The sequence below is a fragment of the Homo sapiens genome, chromosome 2 (assembly GCF_000001405.40).
Source record: "Homo sapiens chromosome 2, GRCh38.p14 Primary Assembly".
Classification (NCBI taxonomy): Eukaryota; Metazoa; Chordata; class Mammalia; order Primates; family Hominidae; genus Homo; species Homo sapiens.
In genome coordinates, this window is record NC_000002.12 from 47,689,333 (window position 1) to 47,715,696 (window position 26,364).

At 44.7% G+C, this 26,364-nt stretch overlaps 1 protein-coding gene and 2 pseudogenes across 1 annotated transcript in view, besides 8 other annotated features; 2 read left to right on the forward strand and 1 right to left on the reverse strand.

The window, feature by feature from the left end:
- Positions 1–20,498, forward strand: part of MSH2 (mutS homolog 2) — a 306,764-nt gene extending 286,266 nt beyond the window's left edge. The window contains exon 17 of the mRNA NM_001406637.1: positions 18,851–20,498. Coding sequence (NP_001393566.1) covers positions 18,851–18,972 — 122 coding nt within the window. The 3' untranslated portion in view covers positions 18,973–20,498. The remainder of the gene's footprint in view (positions 1–18,850) is intronic.
- RPL18AP6 (ribosomal protein L18a pseudogene 6) lies at positions 1,335–1,951 on the reverse strand (annotated as a pseudogene).
- Positions 1,630–2,296: an enhancer, noted in NCBI's record as "H3K27ac-H3K4me1 hESC enhancer chr2:47918101-47918767 (GRCh37/hg19 assembly coordinates)". NCBI's record gives its function as "activates a minimal SCP1, AML or CMV promoter by ChIP-STARR-seq in primed H9 embryonic stem cells {active_cell/tissue: H9 hESC(primed)}" and the evidence as "EXISTENCE:reporter gene assay evidence [ECO:0000049][PMID:30033119]".
- Positions 5,200–5,743: an enhancer, noted in NCBI's record as "H3K27ac hESC enhancer chr2:47921671-47922214 (GRCh37/hg19 assembly coordinates)". NCBI's record gives its function as "activates a minimal SCP1, AML or CMV promoter by ChIP-STARR-seq in naive H9 embryonic stem cells {active_cell/tissue: H9 hESC(naive)}" and the evidence as "EXISTENCE:reporter gene assay evidence [ECO:0000049][PMID:30033119]".
- Positions 6,165–6,214: a silencer, noted in NCBI's record as "silent region_11466". NCBI's record gives its function as "represses an Ori minimal core promoter by ATAC-STARR-seq in GM12878 lymphoblastoid cells {active_cell/tissue: GM12878}" and the evidence as "EXISTENCE:reporter gene assay evidence [ECO:0000049][PMID:35858748]".
- Positions 6,833–7,377: an enhancer, noted in NCBI's record as "OCT4-NANOG-H3K27ac-H3K4me1 hESC enhancer chr2:47923304-47923848 (GRCh37/hg19 assembly coordinates)". NCBI's record gives its function as "activates a minimal SCP1, AML or CMV promoter by ChIP-STARR-seq in naive and primed H9 embryonic stem cells {active_cell/tissue: H9 hESC(naive and primed)}" and the evidence as "EXISTENCE:reporter gene assay evidence [ECO:0000049][PMID:30033119]".
- Positions 7,378–7,921: an enhancer, noted in NCBI's record as "NANOG-H3K27ac-H3K4me1 hESC enhancer chr2:47923849-47924392 (GRCh37/hg19 assembly coordinates)". NCBI's record gives its function as "activates a minimal SCP1, AML or CMV promoter by ChIP-STARR-seq in naive H9 embryonic stem cells {active_cell/tissue: H9 hESC(naive)}" and the evidence as "EXISTENCE:reporter gene assay evidence [ECO:0000049][PMID:30033119]".
- Positions 9,011–9,555: an enhancer, noted in NCBI's record as "OCT4-NANOG-H3K27ac hESC enhancer chr2:47925482-47926026 (GRCh37/hg19 assembly coordinates)". NCBI's record gives its function as "activates a minimal SCP1, AML or CMV promoter by ChIP-STARR-seq in naive and primed H9 embryonic stem cells {active_cell/tissue: H9 hESC(naive and primed)}" and the evidence as "EXISTENCE:reporter gene assay evidence [ECO:0000049][PMID:30033119]".
- Positions 11,735–12,278: an enhancer, noted in NCBI's record as "H3K27ac hESC enhancer chr2:47928206-47928749 (GRCh37/hg19 assembly coordinates)". NCBI's record gives its function as "activates a minimal SCP1, AML or CMV promoter by ChIP-STARR-seq in primed H9 embryonic stem cells {active_cell/tissue: H9 hESC(primed)}" and the evidence as "EXISTENCE:reporter gene assay evidence [ECO:0000049][PMID:30033119]".
- Positions 16,136–16,704, forward strand: NME2P2 (NME2 pseudogene 2; annotated as a pseudogene).
- Positions 19,759–20,068: an enhancer, noted in NCBI's record as "active region_15737". NCBI's record gives its function as "activates an Ori minimal core promoter by ATAC-STARR-seq in GM12878 lymphoblastoid cells {active_cell/tissue: GM12878}" and the evidence as "EXISTENCE:reporter gene assay evidence [ECO:0000049][PMID:35858748]".
- Positions 20,499–26,364: the final 5,866 nt, after the last annotated feature.

Consider the following 26,364-nt stretch of genomic DNA (forward strand, 5'->3'; position numbering starts at 1 on the left):
AATGTGTGCAGAGGAAGCGGGGGCAGGAGTAGGGGAAATCACTTGAGGTCAGGAGTTTGAGACCAGCCTGGCCAACATGATAAAACCCTGTCTCTACTAAAAATACAAAAATTAGTCAGCCATGGTGGTGGGCGCCTGTAATCCCAGCTACTCAGGAAGCTGAGGCAGGAGAATCGCTTGAACCCAGGAGGCCGAGGTTGCAGTGAGCTGAGATCGCACCACTGCACTCCAGCCTGGGCAACAGAGCGAGACTCTGTCTCAAAAAATAAAAATAAAAAAAATAAATAAAGAATAAATGATGAAGAGTTAAGGGAAGAGCAGTGGTCTGGAAGGATCAGTTATTTGGACGCCTCCTCATCAGAAGTGAGTCATTTACATCTCAGAGACTGTCTAGGCTGAGCGACTTCCTTTGTTTTTGAGTGCCCACCTCTGCAGAGGAAATGCCTCTTTGGGAGCATTTCCCATGCTATAGGGGAGGGACTTCCAAACTGAATTACTCTCCTTTTCCTCAGCCAAAACGCATCTTCATGCCTCATATTTTTTCTTTTCAAAAATACATCCTACTTTTCTTACCAAATATGCACATAGAGGTGTTTTTGCTTATTTTTTTAAATAATGCTATTTTTCAATGTGGCACAGGACATGTTTGCTAACCAAATATCATTCATTCCTCTATAGTAAGTGAACAATAGATAAGTATATACTTATGTGAGGCAATTAATGCTTCAGTATATCTCCTTGTTTGGAAATAATCTATGAATGCAATGAATATCCATCATTTAACTTAGCAAAACTCTAAGGGTGAAAGATACCAAAGAGAGTTGTAGAATTATTATAATTCTCATCATTTTTTGAGACAGGGTCTTGCTCTGTCACCAAGGGTGGAGTGCAGTGGCACGATTACAGCTCACTGCAGTCTTGACCTTCCATGCTCAAGTGATCCTCCTATCACAGCCTCCTGAGTAGCTGGGACCACAGGTGCATGACACCACGCCCAGCTAACTAATTTGTTTGTAGACACAGGTTCCAACTGTGTTGCCCAGGCAGTCTCAAACTCCTGGGCTCAAGCAATCCTCCCACCTTGGCCTCCTAAAGTGCTGGAGTTACAAGCATGAGGTATGAGCCACCATGCTCAGCCTGGAGAATTATTTTTAAATAAACATATTACAAAACATAATGATTGGTGAAAAGATAAACAGATGTGAGATAGAAGCTTATAAATTAACTCAGCTGTTTTTAAACAATCTTGCTTGGATTAATCATAAAAATTCCATGAGACATAAACAGCTAGCCATCATCTTAAATTATTTTCTTGCTGATAAATTTTTTTTTCTGGGGCGTTCCTGAGTTTATTTGGGGCACACCCGGGCGAGGGCCCTGCACCTAGAAGAAGGTGTTGGGCCTCTTGGTGGTGAAGCGTGGCTTGTGCTGACGGCGCAGGACCCGGTGGGGCAGCGGGAACTTGATCTTGGAGTCGTGGAACTGCTTGACAGCCGGCCGGCGGCACTTGCTGGCCGCGATCTCCTCCACCTTCATGATCTGAATGGAGTGGGCCCGGCCGCCGTGCCGGGCGCTCATGTCTCGGTAGCACCGGGTGACAGCGCCTGCGGTGGTCAGGTCCCGGTATTCCCGGTACATGTTGTGGGTGCCGCTCCGGGAGTCATAGCGCAGCCAGATCCCGAAGTTCTTCACCCGCAAGGGGAACTTCTCAAACACCTGCCCACAGTAGACAATCTCCCCTGAAGACTTCTTCATCTTCTTTAACTGAGATACGAAGTACCAGAAGCGGGACTTGGCGACGACATGATTAGGCGCAAAGATTCGCATGCGGTAGAGGGGTGGTGTGTGGCATTTGGGGGTGGGCAGGCAGCGACCCACTACTTTGTACTCTCGTAGTGTGCCCGAGGCCTTCATGGCGTGCTCTCCGCGTTCGCCGCCACCCGCAAAAGGAGACTTGCTGATAAATTTTGTAACATAAAAACAACAGGAACGGCTGGGCGCGGTGGCTCACGCTTATAATCCCAGCACTTCAGGAGGCTGAGGCGGGTGTATCACCTGAGGTCAAGAGTTTGAGACCAGCCTGGCCAACATGATAAAACCCCGTCTCTGCTAAAAATATAAAATTAGACAGGCGTGGTGGCTTGTGCCTGTAATCCCAGCTACTCAGGAGACTGAGGCAGGAGAATTGCTTGAACCTGGGAGACGGAGGTTGCGGTGAGCTGAGATCGCACCACTGCACTCCAGCCTGGGCAACAAAAGTGAAACTGTCTCAAAAAAAAAAAAAAAAAAGAAAGAAAGAAAGAAAAGATGTGATTGACAAAAAAAAAAAAAAAATTTGGTTATTTCTGTGACGTACAAAAATTTAACATAATAATCATTATAATTGATAACATTTACTAAGACATATCAGAATTTTAGGAATCTCACACAATTTTGGAACACATATTAACAACACATTTATACAAATAGAACTCAGAGAAAGTTAAACGCCATTTCTTACTTGACAATGCTTCCTGTGTGACATTTACATACAAAATAAACTTAGTGTGTCTCTCTTGAACTTCCAGCGGCTCTTTTTGGAACTTGAAATTTAATTTTAGGAAGTTTGTTAAATATGAAAGGTTTAAAACATTTTATCAAAATAGGATCACAGGTCACTGTAAAATAATAATCATTCATTGAGCCAAAGTGATAATTCAAAGATTTCAAAAAGCAAAAACTTTACTCTTTGATAGAGAAGAGTCTCATTTTCCCAACAATCAAAAGACCTAATAAAGACAGCATGAGGCAAACAAAGTCTGTCTCTCCCTCTCCCCTCATTTTTTTCAGTATACTTAAAAGTAAACAAAAATCTATTATTACCCCTTATTAATACTAGATGAAAATCTTTTTCAAAATTCTACCTTTGCATCAGTGTATTATTAATGGCAAAGCTAATTTTAACAAAACCTTATAACAAATTCACCCAAATTCAATCAGTTTGACCATACACAATAAGAGTTCCATAAACCTTTTAGAACCTCTTATAATTTTTTTCATTCTCTTTCTTTTAGCTTTTTATATGCATTCCATTTTATCTATCATTCCTTTTATTTCTTAAATTTCTTTTTATTTATGTATTTATTTATGTATTGAGACTGAGTCTCTCTCTCTCTGTCACTCAGACTAGAGTGCAGTGGTGCAATCTCAGCTCACTGCTGCCTCAGCCTTCTGGGCTCAGGTGATCCTCCCATCTCAGCCTCCTGAGTAGCTGGGACTATAGGCATGTGGCACCATGCCTGGCTCATTTTCTGTAGAGAGGGGGTTTTGTCATGTTGCCCATGGCTGGATATCTGTTGTTTTTTTTTCCTTGGTTTTTTTTTTTTTTTTGAGATGGAGTCTTGCTCTGTCGCCCAGGCTGGAGTACAGTGGTGTGATCTCAGCTCGCTGCAACCTCTGCCTCCCGGGTTCAATTGATTCTCCTGCCTCAGCCTCCCTAGCAGCTGGGATTACAGGTGCCCAACACCAAGCCCAGCTAATTTGTGTATTTTTAGTAGAGATGGGGTTTTGCCATATTGGCTGGGCTGGTCTCGAAATCTTTATCTCAGTTAATCCACCAACCTCAGCCTCCCAAAGTGCTGGGATTACAGGCGTGAGCCACCACACCTGACCCTAATTTTTTTATCTTTTTGAGACAGGGTCTCACTCTGTTGCCCAGGCTGAGTGCAGTGATGTCATCACAGTTCACTGCAGCCTTGACCTCCCAGGTTCAATTGATCCTCCCACCTCAGCCTTCCAAGTAGCTGGGACTACAGGCATGCACCACCAAGCCCAGCTAAAAATATGTATTATTTAATTTGTCTCAGCAAAACTCTAAGGGTATAGAGTTACCAAAAAGATTTTAGAAACTTTTTTTTAACTCTTTCTTTCTCTCTCTGTATAGGAGACAGGGGTCTCACTTTGCTGTCTAAGCTGGACTAAAACTCCTGGAATCAAATGATCCTCCCACCTCAGCCTCTTGAGTAGCTGAAACTACAGGCGTATGCCACCACGCTTGCCTCTGAGAAACCTTTTTAAGAAAACACATTATAAAACATAACTATTATTAAAAGTTCATTGTAGGCCAGGCAAGGTGGTTCATGCCTATAATCCCAACACATTGGGAAGCTAAGGCAGGAGGATTGCTTGAGCCCCGGAGGTTGAGGCTGCAGTAAGGTATGTTCATACCACTGCACTCCAGCCTGGGCAACAAAGCAAGACCTTGTCTCAAAAAAAGAAAGTCCATTTGTAAACTTTTATCTCATTGACATTTATTTATTCTTAACAATTGTGTTTGAAAAATTGTATGAGACATGAAACAAATCTAGTCATTATCTCAAGTTAAATTTTTTATTAACTATTTTTATATGTTAGGCAAGTATCAAAAAAGCAAGAACTTTGAAGTTAAATACATGTATAGTTTGCTGATAAGTCAAAAGACATAGTTCTTTTTTTTATTAAACCAACAATATTAAACTAGTCCTTGGCCAGGCGCAGTGGCTCACGCCTGTAATCCCAACACTTTGGAAGGCTGAGGCGGATGGATCACCTGAGGTTAGGAATTTGAGACCAGCCTGGCCAACATGGTGAAACCCTGTGTCTACTAAAAATACAAAAAATTAGCTGGGCGTGGCGGTGCACCCCTGTAATCCCAGCTACTCTGGAGGCTGAGGCAGGAGAATTCCTTGAACCCAGAAGGTGAAGGTTGCAGTGAGCACTGCACTCCAGTCTGGGTGACAGAGCAAGACTTGGTCTAAAAAAAAAATTAAATATAAACCAAAAGACTGCTAAAGTCACATTAACTGGTGTCTTGTGAAAGGGTCATATATACAAAGTGACCCTGATAAGCAGAAGGAGCCAGGAAACTGAAGAAGAAGGGAGACAAGTCCAGCTTGTCATCATAGAGGTGATTTTATTGGGGAACTTACAGACAGAAGTGTGGTGTTGGGCAACCACAAGACAGATCGACCAGGAGTGGTGGCTCACACCTGTAATTCCAGAACTTTGGGAGGCCAAGATGGGTGGATCGCTTGAGCCCAGGAGTCCAAGCCTGGGCAACAGAGCGAGACTCCATGTCAAAAAAAAAAAGAGGGAAGAGGGCCAACAGAGCATTTGCAGTTTTTAGGGCCCAGTAATAATATATGAAAGGCAGGCACAGCGGGAAAACAGAACATCTAGATCTTTAAAAATCAATTCCGGACGGGCGCGGTGGCTCACGCCTGTAATCCCACACTTTGGGAGGCCGAGGTGGGTGGATCACGAGGTCAGGAGTTCAAGACCAGCCTGGCCAAGATGGTGAAACCCTGTCTCTACTAACAATACAACAATTAGTCGGGCGCAGTGGCAGGAGCCTGTAATCCTAGCTACTCGGGAGGCTGAGGCAGGAGAATCGCTTAAACCCAGGGGGCGGAGGTTGCAGTGAGCTGACATCTCCCCACTGCACTCCAGCCTGGGCAACAGAGTGATACTCTGTCTCAAAAAAAAAAAAAAAGAAAAGAAAAAAAAAATCAAAGATTCCACTTTTACACTGAAACCCAAGACCCTAAAAAGAGGAAAATACCACAGGAGGCTGCACAACACTTCCACAGTGCACCTCACTACAAAGATATTCCCCCGAAGCTGGTGGGTGACCCACTGCCAATCAGCCCACTTTGTGACCAGCCCACCTCCCATGGGAATCTTGTCCGTTGGTGGTGAGTGCTCTTACAGCCTCTAAGTGTTCAAACCATGCCTTTCTTAAGTAAACGTGCAAAGAAGAAAGTAGCCCCCTGCAGTAATAACCATTCATTGAAACTGTTATCGGCCACCTCTAAAACTGCAGCTTTCATCAGCAACTAGCCAGCCATCACACACACAAAGGTCAAGTTCTTTCTCACACTACAGCTTACTCCCTGGTACCCTCAAAAGCCAAGGAGAGAGGGGGCCCAGAAGAGGGTTGCCCTTTTCACACTTGAATGCAAAGGGTTTTATAAGAAACCTATGAGGGCTAGGCATCTCATTTGCATAAGATGTGAATTTTTGGTAGCTCCACTCCATCATCCTAATGTGCACCTGGGCCCTTAGCTTGAGTTACTCCAGATTGCTTTATTCCCCTTACTGCGCATGTGTCAGGGGACGGAATTTTGCATTGCAGGCATGTCTGCAAGGGCAAGTCACCTGTGTAGCCTTTCTTATCTATGCGGCAGTGGGCATGTCTTAGGGAAGCCCCTCTGTATGAGTTCCCTTATCTGTGCCTGCAGCATGCAGCATGATTTTTTTTTTTTTTTTTTTTTTTGAGACAGAGTCTCACTCTGTCGCCCAGGCTGGAGTGCAGTGGCGTGGTCTCGGCTCACCGCAAACTCCGCCTCCTGGGTTCACACCATTCTCCTGCCTCAATCTCCCAAGTAGCTGGGACTACAGGCACCCACCACCACGCCCAGCTAATTTTTTTTTTTTTTGTATTTTTTAGTAGAGATGGGGTTTCGCCATGTTAGCCAGGATGGTCTGGATCTCCTGACCTCGTGATCCGCCCGCCTGTGCCTCCCAAAGTGTTGGGATTACAGGCGTGAGCCACTGTGCCCAGCCTCCAGCATGATTTTTTTAGGCCGTTCTTTTGTTTGAAAGAATTCAACTAAGGATCCACTCTGCCTGCCTGACCGGTTTCTTCCTTTCTTCTCTCTCATCGGGTCCCGAGTTCCCATGACTGCAGCTTCCAGAAGAGCAGAGCTTTGGTATCCTACTCACAGCGCCAAAACTGCAGGGGCCAAGGTAAAACTTGCCCTTTACCCTCTGAAGGTTTGCTGAAAAATCAACTAACAATAGCAGATTTATTGGCGAAAAGGAATACAAATTTATTAGCGTGCATATGGGAGAGAACCACAGAGTGATTATCCCTACCATGCAATGGGGTTCTGAAGCTTGTATGTCATCTTGAGGTTCCAGAAAGAATGGGGGCTTTGGTTGTGGCAAAACAGGTTCTGGGAGGGGGAGGAGGCCTGACTAGCAAAGGTGGTCTTGTTATGCAGATGAAACCTCACAGGTAGCAGTCCTCAGAATAGATGATAAATGTTTCTTTTGAAACCACCTTTGCAAAAATTCTAACAGTGAGAAGATTATGACAGTGAAAGAGATCTGACCTAACCAACCCCATCTTGCCTCTAACCTTCAAACTGCCCTTAATCATTCCTGGACTTAGACCAACCTAACTTTGGGAGACATTTAGTTTATAGTTTAAATGATAATAACCCTTACCCAAAACTAAATCACCTTTGTAAAGCTAATGAGAGACTACCAGGTTAGGAGGATGTGAGCAGGCTGAATTCTAAGGTGTAAACATAAACAATTACCAGCCATTATGCTGGAGGTCATAAGATTTGCAACTCTCCCAGTTACTCCTGCAGATAACATCACTATTACTTTTAATCGCAAAAACTGCAATTATTTTGCACCAACCTAATAGAACCTAAGATTGGTCTTTTGTTGTTGTTTTGTTTTTGTTTTTGAGACAGAGTTTCGCTCATGTTGCCCAGGCTGGAGTGCAATGGTGCGATCTCGGCTCACCACAACCTCCGCCTTCCAGGTTCAAGTCATTTTCCTGCCTCAGCCTCCCAAGTAGCTGGGATTACAGGCATGTGCCACCATGCCCGGCTAATTTTGTATTTTTAGTAGGCTAATACTAATTTTAGTATTTTGGTCAGGCTGGTCTCGAATTCCTGACCTCAGGTGATCCTCCCACCTTGGCCTCCCAAAGTGCTGGGATTACAGGTATGGGCCACTGCGCACAGCCAAGATTGGTCTTTTGAGATATCTTTTCAGGTTTTTGCATTTCTGACTAACGATGAACCAATGGCTCCACTGAGACCTGCTGATCTCTGCCACCTGGTCATGTGGCCCCACCCAGAAATAGGCTCCCTGGCCTGCCAAACTATCCTTAAAAACCCTAACCTCTGAATTTTTCAGGGAGATTGATTTGAGTAATAATTCAGTCTTCCACGTGGCGTGGCCAGCCTTGTATCTATTAAACTCTTTCTTTATTGCAATGCTGTGGTCTCAGTGAATTGGTTTTGCCTGTGCAGTGGGCAGGACGAACCCATCAGGTGGTTACACTTTCAGACTTTTAAAGGTGTCAGACTGAAACTGTTGTACTTGAGCGAGTTAGAGAAAACGCCACACTTGTAGACGAATTAAGAGTCTGTTTATTTAGCCAGCGGCCAAGAGACGGCTAACGCTCAAAGTTCTTTAGACCCCAAAGAAGGAGCTAAATTTTCTTTTATACTTTGGTTTAGAAGGGGAGGGGGGGGTCTAGTTAAAACAATTTTACAGAAGTAAAGTAGGCAAAAAAGTTAAAAGGATAAATGGTTACAGGAAAGTAAACAGTTCCAGGTGCAGGGGCTTTAAGACTATTACAAGGTGATAGACGCGGGGCTTTGGGCGTTATTAATCGGGCGTTATTAATGGGACGAATTCCTGGGAACTGCGGATATAGCTCACCACAGCATCTTATCAGTTCATTGCATTCTTGGATGTGCTGGGAGTCAGCTTGCACAGGTTAAGTCCTTGAGGAAGGGGCTGCCAGTGAAAGAGCCAAGATGGAGTCTGCCTGGCTCTCTTAGCTAAGGGAGAGTCAATTCAGGTGGAAACAAGGCTAGGTGATTAAAGGAAAGGGAGAGTCTAAAAACAGGGTTAGTAAAAACAAGGTTAGGCATTACAAAACTGCCTTTGCAAAAATCATAACTGAGGAAATTATGACAGTGAAAAAGGTCAGACCTCACTGATTCCACATTGCTTCTAGCCTCTAAGCTGTCTGTTCATTCCTGGGTGTAGGCTGAGCTAGTCTTGGGAAGGAATTTAGTTTATAGTTTAAACTCTGAACCAACAAAATTGACAATAGCACTTTCTGGAAAAAAACCCTTGCTTGCGTGGAGACCAGTCTGTCTTTGTAGGACTAACTTTCATGCACGTCCGTGTGAAGAGACCACTAAACAGGCTTTGTGTGAGCAATAATGCTTTTAATTACCTGGGTGCAGGCGGGCTGAGTCCGAAAAGACAGTCAGCGAAGGGAGATGGGGTGGGGCCGTTTTATAGGATTTGGGTAGGTAAAGGAAAAAGGGGGGTTGTTCTCTGGCGGGCTGGAGTGGGGGTCACAAGGTACTCAGTGGGGGGGCTTTTGAGCCAGGATGAGCCAGGAGAAGGAATTTCACAAGACAATGTCATCAGTTAAGGCAGGAGCAGGCCATTTTCACTTCTTTTGTGGTGGAATGTCATCAGTTAAGGCAGGAACCGGCCATCTGGATGTGTACGTGCAGGTCTCAGGGGATATGATGGCTTGGCTTGGGCTCAGAGGCCTGACATAATTAGCCACAAGATTAGAAATTATGATTTAGGAGCCATGCAGTCTCTGGCTGGAAGAGTCTCAACCTCCCCAAATTGCTTCTGGGAATAAGATCACTGTTGCAAAACCTAAGATCAGTGTTTGAGATATTTTGCAGACCCTGCATTCCAATGCAGCAGATGACACCACTCAGACTGCTAATCTGGCTCAACCAGTCCTGTGATCCCATCCAGGAACAGAAGTCAGCAAGAACTCACTTCAACCCCCTGTAATTTTATCTTCAATCCGACCAATCAACACTCCCTACTTCCTGAGCCCATACCTGCCAAATAATCCTTAAAAACGCTGATCCCTGAATGCTCAGGGAGACTGATTTGAGTAATAATAAAACTCCAGTCTTCCACACAGACGGCTGTGCATGAATTACTCTTTCACCATTGCAATTCCGCTGTCTTGATAAATTCGCTCTGTCTAGGCAGTGAACAAGGTGAACCCACTGGGTGGTTACAAGACTCTCAGTTAATCTTTCCTAGATTCAGAGAAGGGAAGGCTTTAGAGGAAAGAGAAAATGCAGAGAAAAATGGCTGCATTAACGCAGATTTTCTCTACAGATGCAAATCTTCCGCACAAAAGACAGCTTTGCAGGGCTGCTTCTGTTTGCAGGCCCTCTGAACAGCCATCTCAAAACATGTCAAAGAAGTATATCTTGGGGTGAGATATTTTAATTTCCTTCCTATACATGGGAAATAGCCCAGAGAAAATGTGTAACTCTCCAAGAGGTAGCTTAGAATTCAGGCTTATATTGCATCTTCAGCTAAAAATCAAAGGAAAAAAGTATGGGGGATGCTGGTTATAAGGATATGACCAGGAAAAGCATGGTAAACAAAATTAAAGTTTATCATGCAGATTTAATTTGGTGCCTTCTCCATTGAAAAGAGTTTCCTATGATTTAGTTACCCTTCTCTTCCTGGTGCAGAGAGGGAGACACCCTTACAAATGGAGATTTTCTTTATAGATGTAAATTTCCCTTACAAAAGGGTAACTTCTACTCTGTTTTTAGAGCTTCTCCTGTGTCTGCTGTTTCTCAAAATAATCAGCTCAAAATAGCCTTTATGCCAAAGAGGCATATTTTGGGGTGGCACATTCTGGTCTCCTACACTACCCATTTAAATATTGTCCTTTACCTCCCATTATAGCCTTCATTTTTTGTATTAAATATATTTACTTTTATGGAGATAGTAGATGGTATAAATTTTCTGTTTTTACTTGACAGAGTAAACCTTGCCAACCTTACTGAGAAAGTATACTTCTCAAAAAGTTAAAAAAACATGAATCTCATGCAAATAAAAAAATGAGCACATGTCACATGTTTAGTTAACTCATTAATGAAGGAACCAGCAAAATGGTAAGGCTAGTTCAAAGAGAATTAAAGAGAGTGAAGCCTTTATAGCGGCTAAAGGAAAGAATGTTTGCAAAAGTTTGCCAATTTAGATACAAAACTGGATAATTTTTTTTCTTTTTGAAACTGAGTCTCACTATGTCACCCAGGCTGAAGTGCAGTGGTGCAATCTCGGCTCACTGCAAACTCTGCCTCCTGGGTTCAAGCGATTCTCCTGCATCAACCTCCCAAGTAGCTGAGATTACAGGCACCCACTACCATGCCCAGCTGATTTTTGTATTTTTAGTAGAGATGGGTTTTCACCATCTTTGCTAGGCTGGTCTCAAACTACCAATCTCAGGTGATCCACCGCCCCCTCTGCCTCCCAAAGTGCTGGGATTATAGGCATGAGACACTGTGCCAGTGAAAACTGGCTTATAGTCTACATTAACTGTCACCTTTGGGATTGTCTTCTCTAAAGGACAGAAATAATCAGCATCTGTATAGGACAAAATTAATTTAAATTCCTACTCGTTTTCTACCAGCTAGTCTTCTAGTTAAATACTGTACTCAATAGATTAGCAATTCAAACGAAGGCACATACCCCTAGCCGATCAGATAATCCTTGGGTATGTTTACTAGACAAAGCCCAGTAGCACCCTGAGAAGAAAGGTAGTAATCCCTTTTCCCTATTTCCAAGTTTTGGAAATCTTTCCTTAATGTGCTTTTGGTCACCTAATGGTATTGAGTTTTCTTTGTATCTTTCTTTGTTTGTTTTATTTTTAAATTTTACTGATCCACCCCAAAACTTTAGAACTATTCACTCTAGGAAATGTTTTACATAAGATTTTATTGAAGAAAAATAAAAGTAGCTGGGCATGGTGGTACATACCTGTAATCCTAGTTATTTGGGAAGCTGAGGCAGGAGGATAACTTGAGCCCAGGAGTTTGAGACCAGACTGAACAATAGAGGGACCATGCCTAAAAAAAAAAAAAAAAAAAAGGGAGAGGGAAGAAACATCAAATAAAAATGTTTACAAGAGGCATTTTCTTTTTTTTCCTTTTTTTGAGACAAGGTCTCGCTCTGTCACCCAGGCTGGAGTGCAGTGGCGTGACGCCAGCTCACTGCAACCTCCGCTTTCTGGGTTCCATGCCCGGCTAATTTTTTTGTATTTTTTTTTTTTTAGTAGAGATAGGGTTTCACCAGGTTGGCCAGGCCAGTCTTGAACTCCTGGCCTCAAGTGATCCACCCACCTCAGCCTCCCAAATTGCTGGAATTACAGGCGTGAGCCACCATGCCTGGCCTTCAAGAGGCATTTTCTACTCATTCAATATGAAAAATAGCTTTATTGTATCTCTTGGAAACAGTATATGTTCTCACAACTTTTATAACCTCCCTTGTAGAGTAGAGAAATATTAATGGCAAAATTGACTCTCTTTTTAATCGCTGAACCTATTTAAGAAGGACTTTCTAGGCCGGGTGCGGTGGCTCACGCCTGTAATCCCAGCACTTTGGGAGGCCGAGGCAGGCGGATCATGAGGTCAGGAGATCGAGACCGTCCTGGCTAACATGGTGAAACCCCGTCTCTACTAAAAATACAAAAAATTAGCCGGGCGTGGTGGTGGGCGTCTATAGGCCCAGCTATTCTGGAGGCTGAGGCAGGAGAATGGCATTAACCCAGGAGGCAGAGCTTGCAGTGAGCCGAGATGGCGCCACTGCACTCCAGCCTGGGTGACAGAGCGATACTCCGTCTCAAAAAAAAAAAAAAAAGACTTTCTAGTCTTCTTCCTGGATTGAGATCTCCAGGCCCCAGTTTATCCTGCTAAGGCAGCTCATACTGACTTAGACACTGACTTAAGGGATTTACTGGCAAAACCTCAAAAGAAATGGGGCCCCAGAGGGTCATGATGGGGTAATATTTGGGGGCCAGTGGGAGAAGGGCCCAGAAAAGAAGGCAGGGTTTGGGGCATTGTAATTCTGCAGAGACCCATGCCAAAAGTCCAAGAGTGCTCAGGTGAGATCCTTAAGATAGTAGGGGTAAACTTAACTTTTGAAAACATGGAGCTTTCAAAGCAGCCTATTGGGCTTAGAGAATTTAAAAGGAAAGCATTTCCCTTAAGGACCTAGTCCTTTCTAGATAACTGAGGGCAGGGGATAATATGTCACAGGAGTCCGTCCTCTGCCTCCAAGTCATTATGGGTCCAAGTGGCTGTTATGCTAATGGCACAGTCTACCAAATAAATGTTTTTTCCCTCGTGAATGGCATATATGCCTTCTGAAAATAATGCTTCTATCCATAAGAGTGGCTAATGGTGGGGATTTTAGATACTACATCAAACCAGTGGTACTGATGTTACTGGATGGTATAGTGGGTGGCCTATCACTACCAGTTCCTGTTGTAGCAGACCAAAATGCCACCCCAAAACATGACTGTAGGAGACCAGAATATGCCACCCCAAAATGCGTCTCTTTGACATAAGGACTATTTACAGCTGATATTTTTGAGAAACAGCAGACACAGGAAAAGGTCTGAAAACAGTAAAAATTGCTCTTTTGTAAGGGAAATTTACATCTATAAAGGAAATCTCCATTTATAATGCTGTCTCCTCTCTGTACCAGGAAGAGAAAGATGACTAAATCACAGGAAATTCTTATTGTAACTGAGGAGCTTAGTGGCTTAGCCTCAAACTTTTTTTTCGGCTGGGCACAGAGGCTCACACCTGTAATCCCAGCACTTTGGGAGGCTGAGGCGGGTGGGTCACCTGATGTCAGGAGTTTGAGACCAGTCTGGCCAACATGGTGAAACCCCATCTCTACTAAAAATACAAAAATTAGCTAGGCGTGGTGGTGGGCGCCTGTAGTGCCAGCTACTTCTCCAGCTACTGAGGCAGGAGAATCGCTTGAACCCAAGAGGCAGAGGTTGCAGTGAGCCGAGCATGCCACTGCACTCCAGCCTGGGCAACAGAGTGAGACTCCACGTCAGGAAAAAAAAAAAAAAGTTTTTGTCAAAGATAAACATCAAAACATTCCTCAAAATCAAACTCTGTCTTAAAAAAAAAAAAAAGACAACTTTTTTTTCTTTAAAACTTTTTTTCCAGCCAGGCGTAGTGGCTTATGCCTGTAATCTCAGCACTTTGGGAGGCCGAGGTGGGCAGATCACTTGAGGTCAGGAGTTCAAGACCAGCCTGGCCAACATGGTGAAACCTGTCTCTACTAAAAATACAAAAACTAGCCAGGCTTGGTGGTGCATGCCTGTAATCCCAGCTACTTGGGAGGCTGAGGCAGAAGAATCACTTGAAACCAGGAGACGAAGTTTGCAGCAAGCCAAGATGGTGCCACTGCACTCCAGCCTGGGCAACAGAGCGAGACTCTGTCTCAAAAAAATAAATAAATAAGAAATAAAACATTTTTTTCTTTTTCCATTTGCTCTTCTCCCTGCCCTACCCAGTTTCAAGATGTAGTTCTGAGATAAACTTTACAGCCTCGGAATGTTCCACACTCACTTATCTGGTCATATATTTGCTTCAACGCTTCAGGGGTCAGATCTTGATATGGACCTGACATCTCCAGAAGTCTCACTCTAACAAAAGATGACTTCAAGGCTGGAACCTATTCCTGGCTACTAGATTGACTGTGATTAATTTATAACCTGGTAGGACCCACGATGGCACCAACCCCTTCACCAGAAGGAACAATAATTCAAGATGAGCCATGGGAGCAAATCACACAGCATGGCAGCTCCCAGTCCTCCTGCCTCTTCTGCATTCCAGACCTGCTCTTTAAAAACCTGGGCATTCCCTCCACAAATTGAAGAGTGGAATTTTTTTTCACCTGCTCTTCCTCTTGCTGGCACAGATCATAAAGTCTTGCTCTCTTTCTATCACATCTCATTATTATTTTGGCTTCTTTCTACAAGCAAGGAGCAGCAGGCCCTTTTACATTACCATTAGTGAAGGCACTTGAGTTAAATCCGCACAACGAATCTTACTCTTGCCTGTAATCCCAGCACTTTGGAAAGCCAAGGCGGGTGGATCACCTGAGGTCAGGAGTTCGAGACCAGCCTGGCCAATGTGGTAAAACCTATCTCTACTAAAAATACAAAAAATTGGCCAGGTGTGGTGGTGGGGGCCTGTAATCCCAGCTACTCAAGAGGCTGAGGCAGGAGAATAGTTTGAACCCGGGAGGCGGAAGTTGCAGTGACCCGAGATCATACCACTGCACTGTAGCCTGGGCAACAAGAGCAAAACTCTGTCTCAAAAAAAAAAACCAAATCGTACTCTTGTTTACCATACTTTTCCTGGTCATCTTCCCATAACCAGTCATCAACAGATGATAGTACTTAAGCTTGAATTCTAAATCACCTCTAAATCAATCTAAATGAAATGAGATTTCATCATTTTTCTGGGTGTCTCCCATGTGTACATGATATGTACATGTTAATAAACTTCTGTTTGTTTTTCTTTTATTAGTCTGTCTTTTGTTACAGAAGGCTCCAGCTAAAAACTTGGAAAGGGTAAAGGAAATATTTTTGTCCTACATTATGCTGTCCAGTAAGATAGCCACTCACCACATGTGGCTGTTGAGTGCTTGGAACGTGGCCAGTACAAAATATACAAAGTGTAAAATACACATCAGATTTCAAAGCCTTACTGTGAAAAAAAAGTAAAATATCTCATCAATAACTTTATATTGATCATATGTTAAAATGACATTTTGGATATACTGAGCTAAATATCATTATTTTTTATTTTTATTTTTTTTGAGACGGAGTTTTACTCTGTCTCCCAGGCTGGAGTGCAATGGTGCAATCTCGGCTCACTGCAACCTCTGCCTCCTGGGTTCAAGTGATTCTCCTGCCTCAGCCTCCCAAGTAGCTGGGATTACAGGCACCTGCCACTGTGCCCAGGTAATTTTTTTTTTGTACTTTTTAGTAGAGTCAGGGTTTCACCATGTTGGCTAGGCTGGTCTCGAACACATGACCTCAGGTGATCCACCCACCTTGGCCTCCCAGAGTGCTAGGATTCCAGGCATGAGCCACCAGCCAATATATTATTAAAAATAATTTCTTGCTGGGCATGTTGGCTTATGCCTGTAAGTAATCCCAGCATTTTGGGAGACTGAGGTGGGCAAATCACCTGAGGTCAGGAGTTTGAGACCAGCCTGGCCCACATAGTGAAACCCTGAATCTACTAAAAATACAAAAAATTAGCTGGGTTTGGTGGTGCGTGCCTGTAATCTCAGCTACTTGGGAGGCTAAGGCAGGAGAATTGCTTGAATCTGGGAGACAGAGGTTGCGGTGGGCCAAGATAGCGCCACTGCACTCCAGCCTTAGCAACAAGAGCACAACTCCATCTCAAAATAATAATAATAATTTCTTGGCTCCAAGTCTCAGCTCCCGCACCACCTGACACTGTCAGATCCTCAGGCCATGGCCAACACTGAGAGCATCATTATCAATCCGAGTGCTGTTCAGCACAGCCTGGTGGGTGAAATCATCAAATACTCTGAGCAGAAGGGATTCTACCTGGTGACCATGAAGTTCCTTCGGGCCTCTGAGAAACCCCTGAAGTAGCACTACACTAACCTGAAAGACCACCCATTCTTCCCGGACCTTTCTGAGCACAAGGTCCATTTTGTGGATGGATTGTCTTTCCCCCTTAGGTCTGAGTGCTCAAGCAGATCGTGGCGTATTCATTAGTGTATCCCAGTGCCTGGCACATATTAGGCGCTCAATATAAGTGAAGTACATGAACTCAGGGCAGGTTGTGGCCATGGTCCTGGAGGGGCTGAATGTGGCAAAGACAGGGCTAAGGATGCTTGGGGAGACCAATTCATTGGGCTCTATGCTAGAGACTATTATTCGCAGGGACTTCTGCGCTAAAATAGGCGGGAACGTCATTGGTGGCAGTGATTCATTACAAAGTGCTGGCAAAGAAATGGCTTAAAGAAGAAGAACTGGTTGACTACAAATCTCGTGCCTATGACTAGATCTATGAATAAAAGGAGGTCAAAGCAGCAGTCTGCCTCGACGCCGTTCCTGGGTCCCTAGACACAGCTCTTCATCCCATTGACTTGGAGGCAATAGGATGAATCCTTCTTTACTAATAAAGCCTTTGGAAACTGGAGGCAAAACTTACTTTGTTTCTTTCTACTTTTAAAAATGTGTGTACTGGAAATGTTAAAATGACACAAGTGGCTGGCATTACCTTCCTGTTGGACAGTGCTGGACCACTATCATCTGCTGGCTTCCCACAGCTCTTAAGGTGCAGCAACTCCCAAGCCTGTCATTCCTCCCACCTGCCTTGACAGCCTCATCTGGCACTCATTTGTAGGATGGATGTCTGTTGTCCCAGGTAGTGGTTACTCCATTCATCTCCATCCATGCTCTGTGCAATCAGTGATACGGGAACACACTGTGGAACTGGGGAATCAGGGACTTGGAATTTAATCCCAACATTGCCACTAACTTGCTATGGGACCAGGCAAGTCCCTTAACCAACCCCCACCCAACCCTGCTGTTTTACCTTCCCCACTTTAATTATATAGCCTGAGTGAGACCAACTCCAATATCCCTTCCTGCTCTAGAGGTTCTGTTTTTCCCTTTTTTTTTTTTTTTTTTTTTTGACAAAGTCTTGCTCTGTTATCCAGGTTGGAGAGCAGTGGTGCCATCTCAGCTGACTGCAACCTCTGCCTCCTGGGCTCAAGCAATTTTCCTGCCTCAGCCTCCCAAGTAGCTGGGACCACAGGCATGTGCCACCACACCTAGCTAATTTTTGTATTTGTTGTAAAGATGGGGTTTCACCATGTTGCCCAGGCTAGTCTTGAACTCCTGAGCTCAAGCAATGTGCCTACCTCCATGAGCCACCACACCCGGCCTAGAGGTTCTGTTTCTTTACAGGAGCCTCGGGCCATGTACGTTCTGCTTGGGGATAAAAGGAGAAAAAGGAACTCTTAAAATTATTGTTGGGGCTGGGCTCAGTAGCTCACACCTGTAATCCCAACCCTTTGGAGGCTGAGGCGGGCATATCATCTGAGGTCAGGAGTTCAAGACCAGCCTGGCCAACATGGTGAAATCCGCCTCTACTAAAAATACAAAAATAAGCCAGGCATGGTGGCGGGCACCTGCAATTCCAGCTACTTGGGAGGCTGAAGCACAAGAACCACTTCAACTTGGGAGCCAGGAGTTGCAGTGTGCTGAGATTGCTCTGTTACAGTGAGCCAAGATCATGTCACTGCACCCCAGCCTGGGTGACAGAGCAAGAGACTCTGTCTCAAAAAAAAAAAAAAAGTTATTCTTGGCTGGCCACGGTGGCTCGTGCTTATAATCCCAGCACTTTGAGGAGCCAAGGTGGGAGGATCACTTTAGCCCAGGAGTTTGAGACAAGCCTGGACGATATAGCAAGACCCCGTCTCTACTTTGTATTATATAATTTTTAAAAATAAAAATAATAAAATTATGATTGTTATTTGGCGACCTGTATCCTTTGTCTAGATAAGCAACTGGAGGAGGTACACCAGGCCTGTCTTTTTGACCCTGGGCCCGAATGGTGACTTTTAAGCTTGCTGCATTTCACCCAGGCAAAGTAGGTTCTGCTGCCAGGCTTTTGCCCCCATCAGTCCCTCTCTATCAACATTCATTCAGCCAACTTATATTGAGTGCCTAATATGTGTGAGGCACTGGGATACACTGATGAATACACCACGATCTGCTTGAGCACTCAGACCTGAGGGGCAAAGACAGTCCATCCACAGACAACCGTAATGCAAGGTGTACCTTGTGCTCAGGAAGCTGTTCCTGCTAAGGGGGCTGGGGGTCAGGGAAGGTTTCCTGGGGGAGGGCCACCTGTGCTGTGTTTCGTGGGGTAGGTGGGAGTTAGCCAGCTGAAGAGAAGTGGGAGAGGGAAGGCATTCCAGGCAGTGGGAACAGCTTGAGCAAAGACACAGAAGCAAGGCACAGCTTGGTGTGGGCCGGAATTCTAAGTCCTCTAGTGTTGTTGGAGCTTAAAATTCAGTGGTAGGAGAGGAAGCTGGAGAGGTGGGCAGGAGGCTCTGCTTCAGGGCAGCACTTAGAATTCCTGAGGACATCCAGGCCCACTGCCTGGTTCATTTTCCCTACCTCTTGCCTTCTTTTTTCCTGGTTTAGGAAAGATACAAAATTCTTGTGTGCAGCCTCTTTTGGACTCCAGCTCTTGTTCTCTCGCTGAATCCCACCGCCACCCCTTCAAGTCATCGGCTGTGATTCACCTGTGGGTTTCTGAAGGCTAGAAGCTTCCACAATGAGCCAGGAAACAAGTTCTGATTGGCTGGGAACAGACCTCTGCTCCAAGATTCAGGGCTGGCAGTATTCCTTCTGTTCTGGTGGCTCGATCTTCATTGCTTTCCTCTGGACTTGTAAGTTATTCCAACAAACCCCAGCTGCTCTGCAGTGAAATGTTCCAAATAATTAATATTTCTGCAGGAATTACCTTGTAAAAGATATGTGCTTTTAAGTATTTGGTTATTGTGCAAATGTTTTTGACTACCTTTTGTGGCCAATTTTCTCCTTCAGCGGGCTCATGTATAATTTTAGATAAAAGTACAAGGAAATTATGATTCCATAATCATAAGTCTACTTTCAGCAATACACGTATCTTCAGAGAATCTCAGCCTCCCTGCAGCATCCTCCTGGTGCACAGAAAAACTGCTGAATTCTGGCAAGATACTCAAAGGATTCTGACGGGTGACCATCTCAGGCCGGAGATATGCCCAACCAACTGGAAAAGCAGAGACAGCCATGGACAGATCTGCTGACGCTAAAGTTTATAGACAGCTGAGGTGCAACCCATATAATCACCCAGATGTTATTAGGCCATGATCATTCTGTAGTAAGCTACCTCCCTTCTGTGTTTCCTCTCACCTGACAGCCTATTGTGGGCACTTTCAAGGCCCCACTGTGTCCAAATCACACCACCACCAAAGCTCACAGAAGCACGCTGGTAGATTTCTCCTCTTTGGTGGTTTCCCATGACCAGCCAAGGGAAATACCCAACAATCATTCTCAGTGTGCACAGATTTACCTTCAGCTTTTTTGGTTATATTGTCATTATTATTTTCTTTGTCCAGTGGGAGAGTTAAGGGGCCTGCTATGGACTGAACTCTGTCCCCCTCAAATTCATATGTTGAAGCCCCAACCTTCAACATGACTATATTTGAAAACAGTCCCTTTATGGAGGTAAAGTTAAATGAGATCATAAGAGTGGGGCCCTTGTTCGATAGAACTGGTGTCCTTACAAGAAGAGGAAGAGGCTGAGTGCAGTGGCTCAAGCCTATAATCCCAGCACTTTGGGAAGCTGAGGCAGGAGGTACGCTTGGGCCCAGGAGTTCAAGACCAGCTTGGGCAACATAACAAGACCCTATCTCTACAGAAAAAAATTAAAAATTAACCAGGTGTGATGGCATGTGCTTGTGGTACCAGCTACTCAGGAGGCTGAGATGGGTGGATGGCTTGAGCCTGGGAGGTCAAGGTTGCAGTGAGCTGTGATAGCACTGCACTCCAGCCTGGGTAACAGAGCAAGACCCTGTCCCTCCCCACACCACCCCAACTCCCCCCAAAAAGGAAGAGATACCAGAGTGCACTCTCTCGATCTCTCTCTCTCTCTTCCACGTGAGGACACAGAAGAAAAAAAAAAAAGCCCATCTGCAAGGCAGGAAGACGGCCTTCAACAGCAACGAAATCAGTCAGCACCTTGGTTTGGACTGCTTGGTCTCCAGAACGAGGGAAAATAAATTAAAATAAATGTCTGTAGAATTAAGCCACCCAGTCTATGATGTTTCACGACAGCAGCCCAAGCAGATGAATACAGGGCTATTCATTCATTCCCCACTTATTGAGCATCTTCTATGAGGCATTCTGATGGTTAATTTTAGGTGTCAACTTGACTGGGCTGAGGGATGCCCAGATGACTGGTAAAACATTATTTCTGGATGTGTCTGTAGGTATTTCTGTGAAAGATGAGCATTTAATCAGTAGACTAAGTAAAGATCTGTCCTCACTAATGAGATTAGGCATCATCCAATTCATAGGGAGCCTAAATAAGACAAAAAGTTGGCGAAAAAGTGAATTTGCTCTCTTGTCTGGGGCTCAGACATCCATCTTCTCCTGCCCTTGGATAATGGAGCTCCTGGCTCTTGGGACTTACACCAGGCCCAATAGATGAGAAGCCCCATCCTTCCCCACTGTCTTTATATCCCCAAACTCCTGGCTAGTGTGCAACAGTGTGGCATGGACTACTCTATTCCTTGCTTTAACAATTGAGTTTACTGCAGAGGTGTAAAATATTCATGCTGAGAAAGGCCTGGGAAGCTTCAGTGAATGCTTCCCAGCAGTCTGGCTGTGCCAGAGGCTTGAAGTCAGGGAGAAAATGAACTGCCTCCTCCTCCTTCTGTGAAGCAGTGCTGGGAGAAGCACATAGTTCTCAAGAGAACACAGTGGCCTGAGCATGCTCTGAGCAGTGGTTCCCAAAGGAGGGTTTAGGAAAAAGCCGAGTCGGGACCCTGGGGAGAGACTGTGGCCCCTACTAGAGGGGTCTTCCGAGGCCACGTTTCTATGATGACCTGGAGAATCCAGGAGATCAGTGGGAAGGGAGCTGCCTCCAGAGGGATTCACCTGCCACCTGAACCAGAAGGAGGCAAAGATGAAGCAGTGGGGAGGCCCTTCTTGGCTGGTAAATCCTCCTGGGTCAGGCACTTGTAGGAGCAGCCCTGTGGGATGGAATTGAACTCATTACTTTTACAACATGCCAAGGACAGGGCCAGGTGCTGGAGATACAACCAAGAATAAAATGCAGCACCTGTTCTCCACAGTTAAGTTAAAAGCACAGACTCGAACAGACAAAATACAACTTGGCTTAGTAGTGGAAGAGCACACTGCACCAAACTGGTTGTCCAGCAAGAGGGGACTGAATTAATAATCTGTGATCTGTCTATACCGAGTAATACCAAGAAACTGTTGAAAAAAATAAGGCATTGCTTATTTTATGATCTGAAATGATGCACAAGAAATATGAAGTAGAAAAGCAATGGGAGCTTCCAGGTAGCTGAATTCCTAGAGGGTGGCAAGCCAGAGAGGGCGAGGAAGCTCTGCACCTCTTCCCTCATACGTGCCCTGTGCATTTCGTCATCTAAATCTTTAAGGACAAAGCAAAAAAACTGCCTGACTTCTTGGCTGACAATTTGGGCTGGATACTGGTTTCTTCCTATTATAATAATTATTGCTTTATAAATTCAGGTATATAAGGCCGGGCGCAGTGGTTCACACCCATAATCCCAGCACTTTGGGAGGCTGAGGCAGGTGGATCACTTGAGCTCAGGAGTTAGAGACCAGCCTGGCCAACATGGCAAAACCCCATCTCTACAAGAAATACAAAAATTAGCTGGGCATGGTGACACGCACCTGTAGTCCCAGCTACTTGGGAGGCTGAGGTGGGAGAATTGCTTGAGCCCAGGAGGTTGAGGTTGCACTAAGTTGAGATTGTGCCACAGCACTCCAGCCTGGGCAACACAGTGAAACCCTGTCTCAAAAAAAAAAAAAAAAAAAAATTTCAGGTATATTAAAAAAAACCTAGGCCTGATGTGGTGGCTCACGCATGTAATCCCAGCACTTTGGGAGGCTGAGCCCAAAGGCTGAGCACTTTGGGAGAATAGCTTGAGCCCAGGAGTTCAAGACCAGCCTGGGCAACATAGTGAGACCCTGTCTCTACAAAAGAAAAAATTTTTTTAATTAGCTGGGCATGGTGGTAAGCACATGTGGTCCCAGTTAGTCAGGAAGCTGAGGTGGGAGGATGGTTTGAGCCCAGGAGGTCAAGGATGTAGTGAGACATGATTGTGCCACTGTACTCCAGCCTAGGTGACAGAGCAAGACCCTATCTCAAAAAATAAATAAATACATATATATATATATATAAAATAAAAATTTTAAAATGAGAAAATCTAAAAAGCAAAGCATAAAAACAATATACACAACAGTTTCTAGGATGGAAAAGTTCACTGGGTTGCCCAGGTCAAAACTTATCTATAGCAGCCGGGCACGGTGGCTCACACCTGTAATCCCAGCACTTTGGGAGGCCAAGGCAGGCAGATCACAAGGTCAGGAGTTTGAGACCAGCCTTGCCAACATGGTGAAACCCCATCTCTACTAAAAATATAAAAATTAGCTGGGCGTGGTGGTGTGTGCCTGTAATCCCAGCTATTGGGGAGGCTGAGGCAGGAGAATGGCTTATACCCAGGAGGTGGGTGAACCAAGATCGTGCCACTGCACTCCAGCCTGGGTGAAAGAGTAAGAATCCATCTCAAAAACAAAACAAAACTAATCTACAATTGGTGGGCAAATAGGAAGCACTTGCCTCCAGGGTGCAGGTGGGCCAAGGTTAGTGGGTGGGAGTACAGAGGGAATCAAGGCATTAGGAACCAACTTAGCAGCAGGACATGTGATGCCTAGGTTGCATGGTATCCATGTTAGGAGGGTCATGGGGAACAACTATTTGGGGTGCAGGTGGGCCGGGGCTAGTAGATGGATACACAGAGGGAATCAGGACACCATGAGCCCACTGGCTGGCAGAGCAGCCTGAGGCCTAGGATGCATGGCATCCACTTTGGAAGGACTGCAGTGAGGTGGTTACCAGGCTGGAGCCAGCAAGCTCACTGAGGAACTTTGTGCATTGGACACGTGGTTGTCAGTCATGCAACAAGAGCAAACAAACATACGGGCAAAAATGGAAGCACTGGAGGCCAGCAGGGTGGCACACGCCTATAATCTCAGTGACTCGGGAGGCTGAAGCAGGAGGATCACTCAAGGCCAGGAGTTTGAGACCTGCCCAAACAACACAGTGGGATTCTGTCTCTAAAGTAAAAAGTAAAAAAAAGCCGGGCACGGTGGCTCATGCCTATAATCGCAGCACTTTGGGAGGCCGAGGCAGGTGTTCAAGAGGTCAGGAGTTCAAGACCAGCCTGACCAACATGATGAAACCCCATCTCTACTAAAAATACAAAATTAGCCAGATGTGGTGGCACATGCTTGTAATCCCAGCTACTCGGGAGGCTGAAGGCTGAGGCTGGAGACTCGCTGGAACCCGAGAAGCAGAGATTGCAGTGAGACAAGATCACGCCATTGCATTCCAGCCTGGGCAACAAGAGCAAAACTCCATCTCAAAAAAAAAAAAAGGTTAAAAAAAATATATAGCCAGGCATAGGGGTGCATGCCTGTAGTCCTAGCTACCAAGGAGGCTGAGGCAGGAGAATCCCTTGAGCCTAGAAGCTTAAGGTTGCAGTAAGCTATGACTGGACGACTGCACTCTAACCTGGGTGACAGAGCAAGACCCTATCTCTAAGTGAAAAAAAAAAAAAAAAAAAAAAAAGAAGCACTGGAACCAGGAGAAAGCCAATTTTTCCTACAAAGTCCCTCTAGCCTCCTCTTCTAACAAAAACTAACACTGTTGTCATTGCAAAAGAGAAATGCTTAAAAGATCCAGTTCATTATCACAGAGGCAGATTATGAAAGGTTGATTTAGCACTTAGACACAATAAATTGATACCTAAGTAGCACAGCAGTCAAGGACTTTAAAATAGCTATTATGGCTGGGCATGGTGGCTCACACCTGTAATCCCAGCACTTTGGGACGCCGAGGCCAGCTGATCGCCTGAGGTCAGGAGTTCAAGGCCAGCCTGGCCAACATAGTGAAACCCCATCTCTACCAAAAAATACAAAAATTAGCCAGGCATGGTGGCGCGCACCTGTAGTCCCAGCTACTTGGGAGGCTGAGGCACAAGAATCGCTTAAACCTGGAAGGGGGAGGTTGCAGTGAGTCCAGCCTGGGTGACAGAGTGAGACTCTGTCTCAAAAAAAGAAAAAGAAAAAGAAAAAAAACAGCTATTATGAATATTTTCAGAGATGTAAAGGAAAAGGCAATTACAATGACTAAGCAAATGGAGAATCTTAGCAGAGAAATGAAAACTATAAAAAAGGACCAAAGAGAGTTAGGTTTCTAGATGGGAATAGTTAGTTGATTTTTGACAAAGGATTCAGAGCAATTCAATAAGGAAATAAAAGTTTTCAACACTTTGTACTGAAACAACTGGACAAACATATGGGGAAAAAATGGACTTACCACCACATATAGAAATTAATTTAAGATGGTTCATGAATGTAGACAGAAAAGCTTAAAACTATAAAGCTTCTAGAATAAAATATAGGAGAATATCATAATCTTGGGCTAGACAAATATTTCTTACACTCAGAAAGGAGTAACCAGGCCAGGTGTGGTGGCTCACACCTGTGGTCCCTGTACTTTGGGAGGCCAAGTTGGGAGGATTGCTAGAACCCAGGAGTTCAAGACCAGCCTGGGCAACATACTGAGATCCCATCTCATTTTAAAAAAGGGACGGTGGGGAGTAACCATAAAGAAAGTTGATAAATTTGATTTCATCAAAATTAAAAACTTCAGTTCATCAAAAGACATCAAGAAAATGAAAAGAGCTGGGCATGGTGGCTCACACCTGTAATCTCAACACATTGGGAAGCCAAGGCAGGAGGATCACATAAGGCCAGGAGTTTGAGACCAACCTGGGTAACATAGTGAGAGCCTCGTCTCTATAGAAACTTTTTTTTTTTTTTTTTTTTTTTTTTTTAAGACAGAATCTCACTCTCTTGCCCAGGCTGGAATGCAGTGGCAAGATGTCGACTCAACACAACCTCTGCTTCCCGGGTTCAAGCAATTCTCCTGCCTCAGCCTCCCAAGTAGCTGGGATTACGGGGGCCCACCACCATGCCCAGCTAATTTTTGTATTTTTAGTAGAGATGGGGTTTCACCATCTTGGCCAGACTGGTCTTGAACTCCTGACCTCATGATCCACCCGCCTTGGCCTCCCAACGTGCTGGGATTACAGGCGTGAGCCACCGTGCCCAGCTGAAAATTTTTTTTAAATTAGCCAGCAGTGGTGGTATGTGCCTGTAGTTCTAGCTACTTGGGAGGCTGAGGTGGGAGGATTGCTTGAGCTCAGGAGTTTGAGGCTGCAGTGAGCTATGATCACACCATCACACTCCAACCCGGGTGACAGAGTAGGACCTTGTCTCTAAAACTAAATAAATTAATTTAAATTAAAATTTAAAAAATTTTTTAAAAGAAAATGGAAACATAAGCCATAGGCTAGGATGTGCCTATATCCCATGCCATATTTGTAACTCATATTTCTGACAAATAACTTGTATCCAGATTATGTAAAGAATTCATACAGCAATTTTAAAGAAACAACACAATAAAAATAGTGAAAAGACTTGAACAGACACTTCACAAAGAAAGTGGGCTGGGCATGATGACACATGTCTGTAATCCCAGCACTTTCGGAGGCTAAGGTGGGCTGATAGCTTGAGCTCAAGAGTTCAAGACCAGCCTGGGCAACGTGGTGAAACCTTGTCTCTACAAAAAAATACAAAAATTAGGCAAAGTGGCACACACCTGTAATCCCAGCTACTCAGGGCTGAGGCACGAGAATCGCTTGAACCGAGGAGGCAAAGGTTGCAGTGAGCCTAGATTGTGCCATTGCACTCTGTCCTGGGCAACACAGTCTCAAAAAAAAAGGGATATGCAAATGACCAGTAAGTGCATGAAAAGGTATACGTTACTC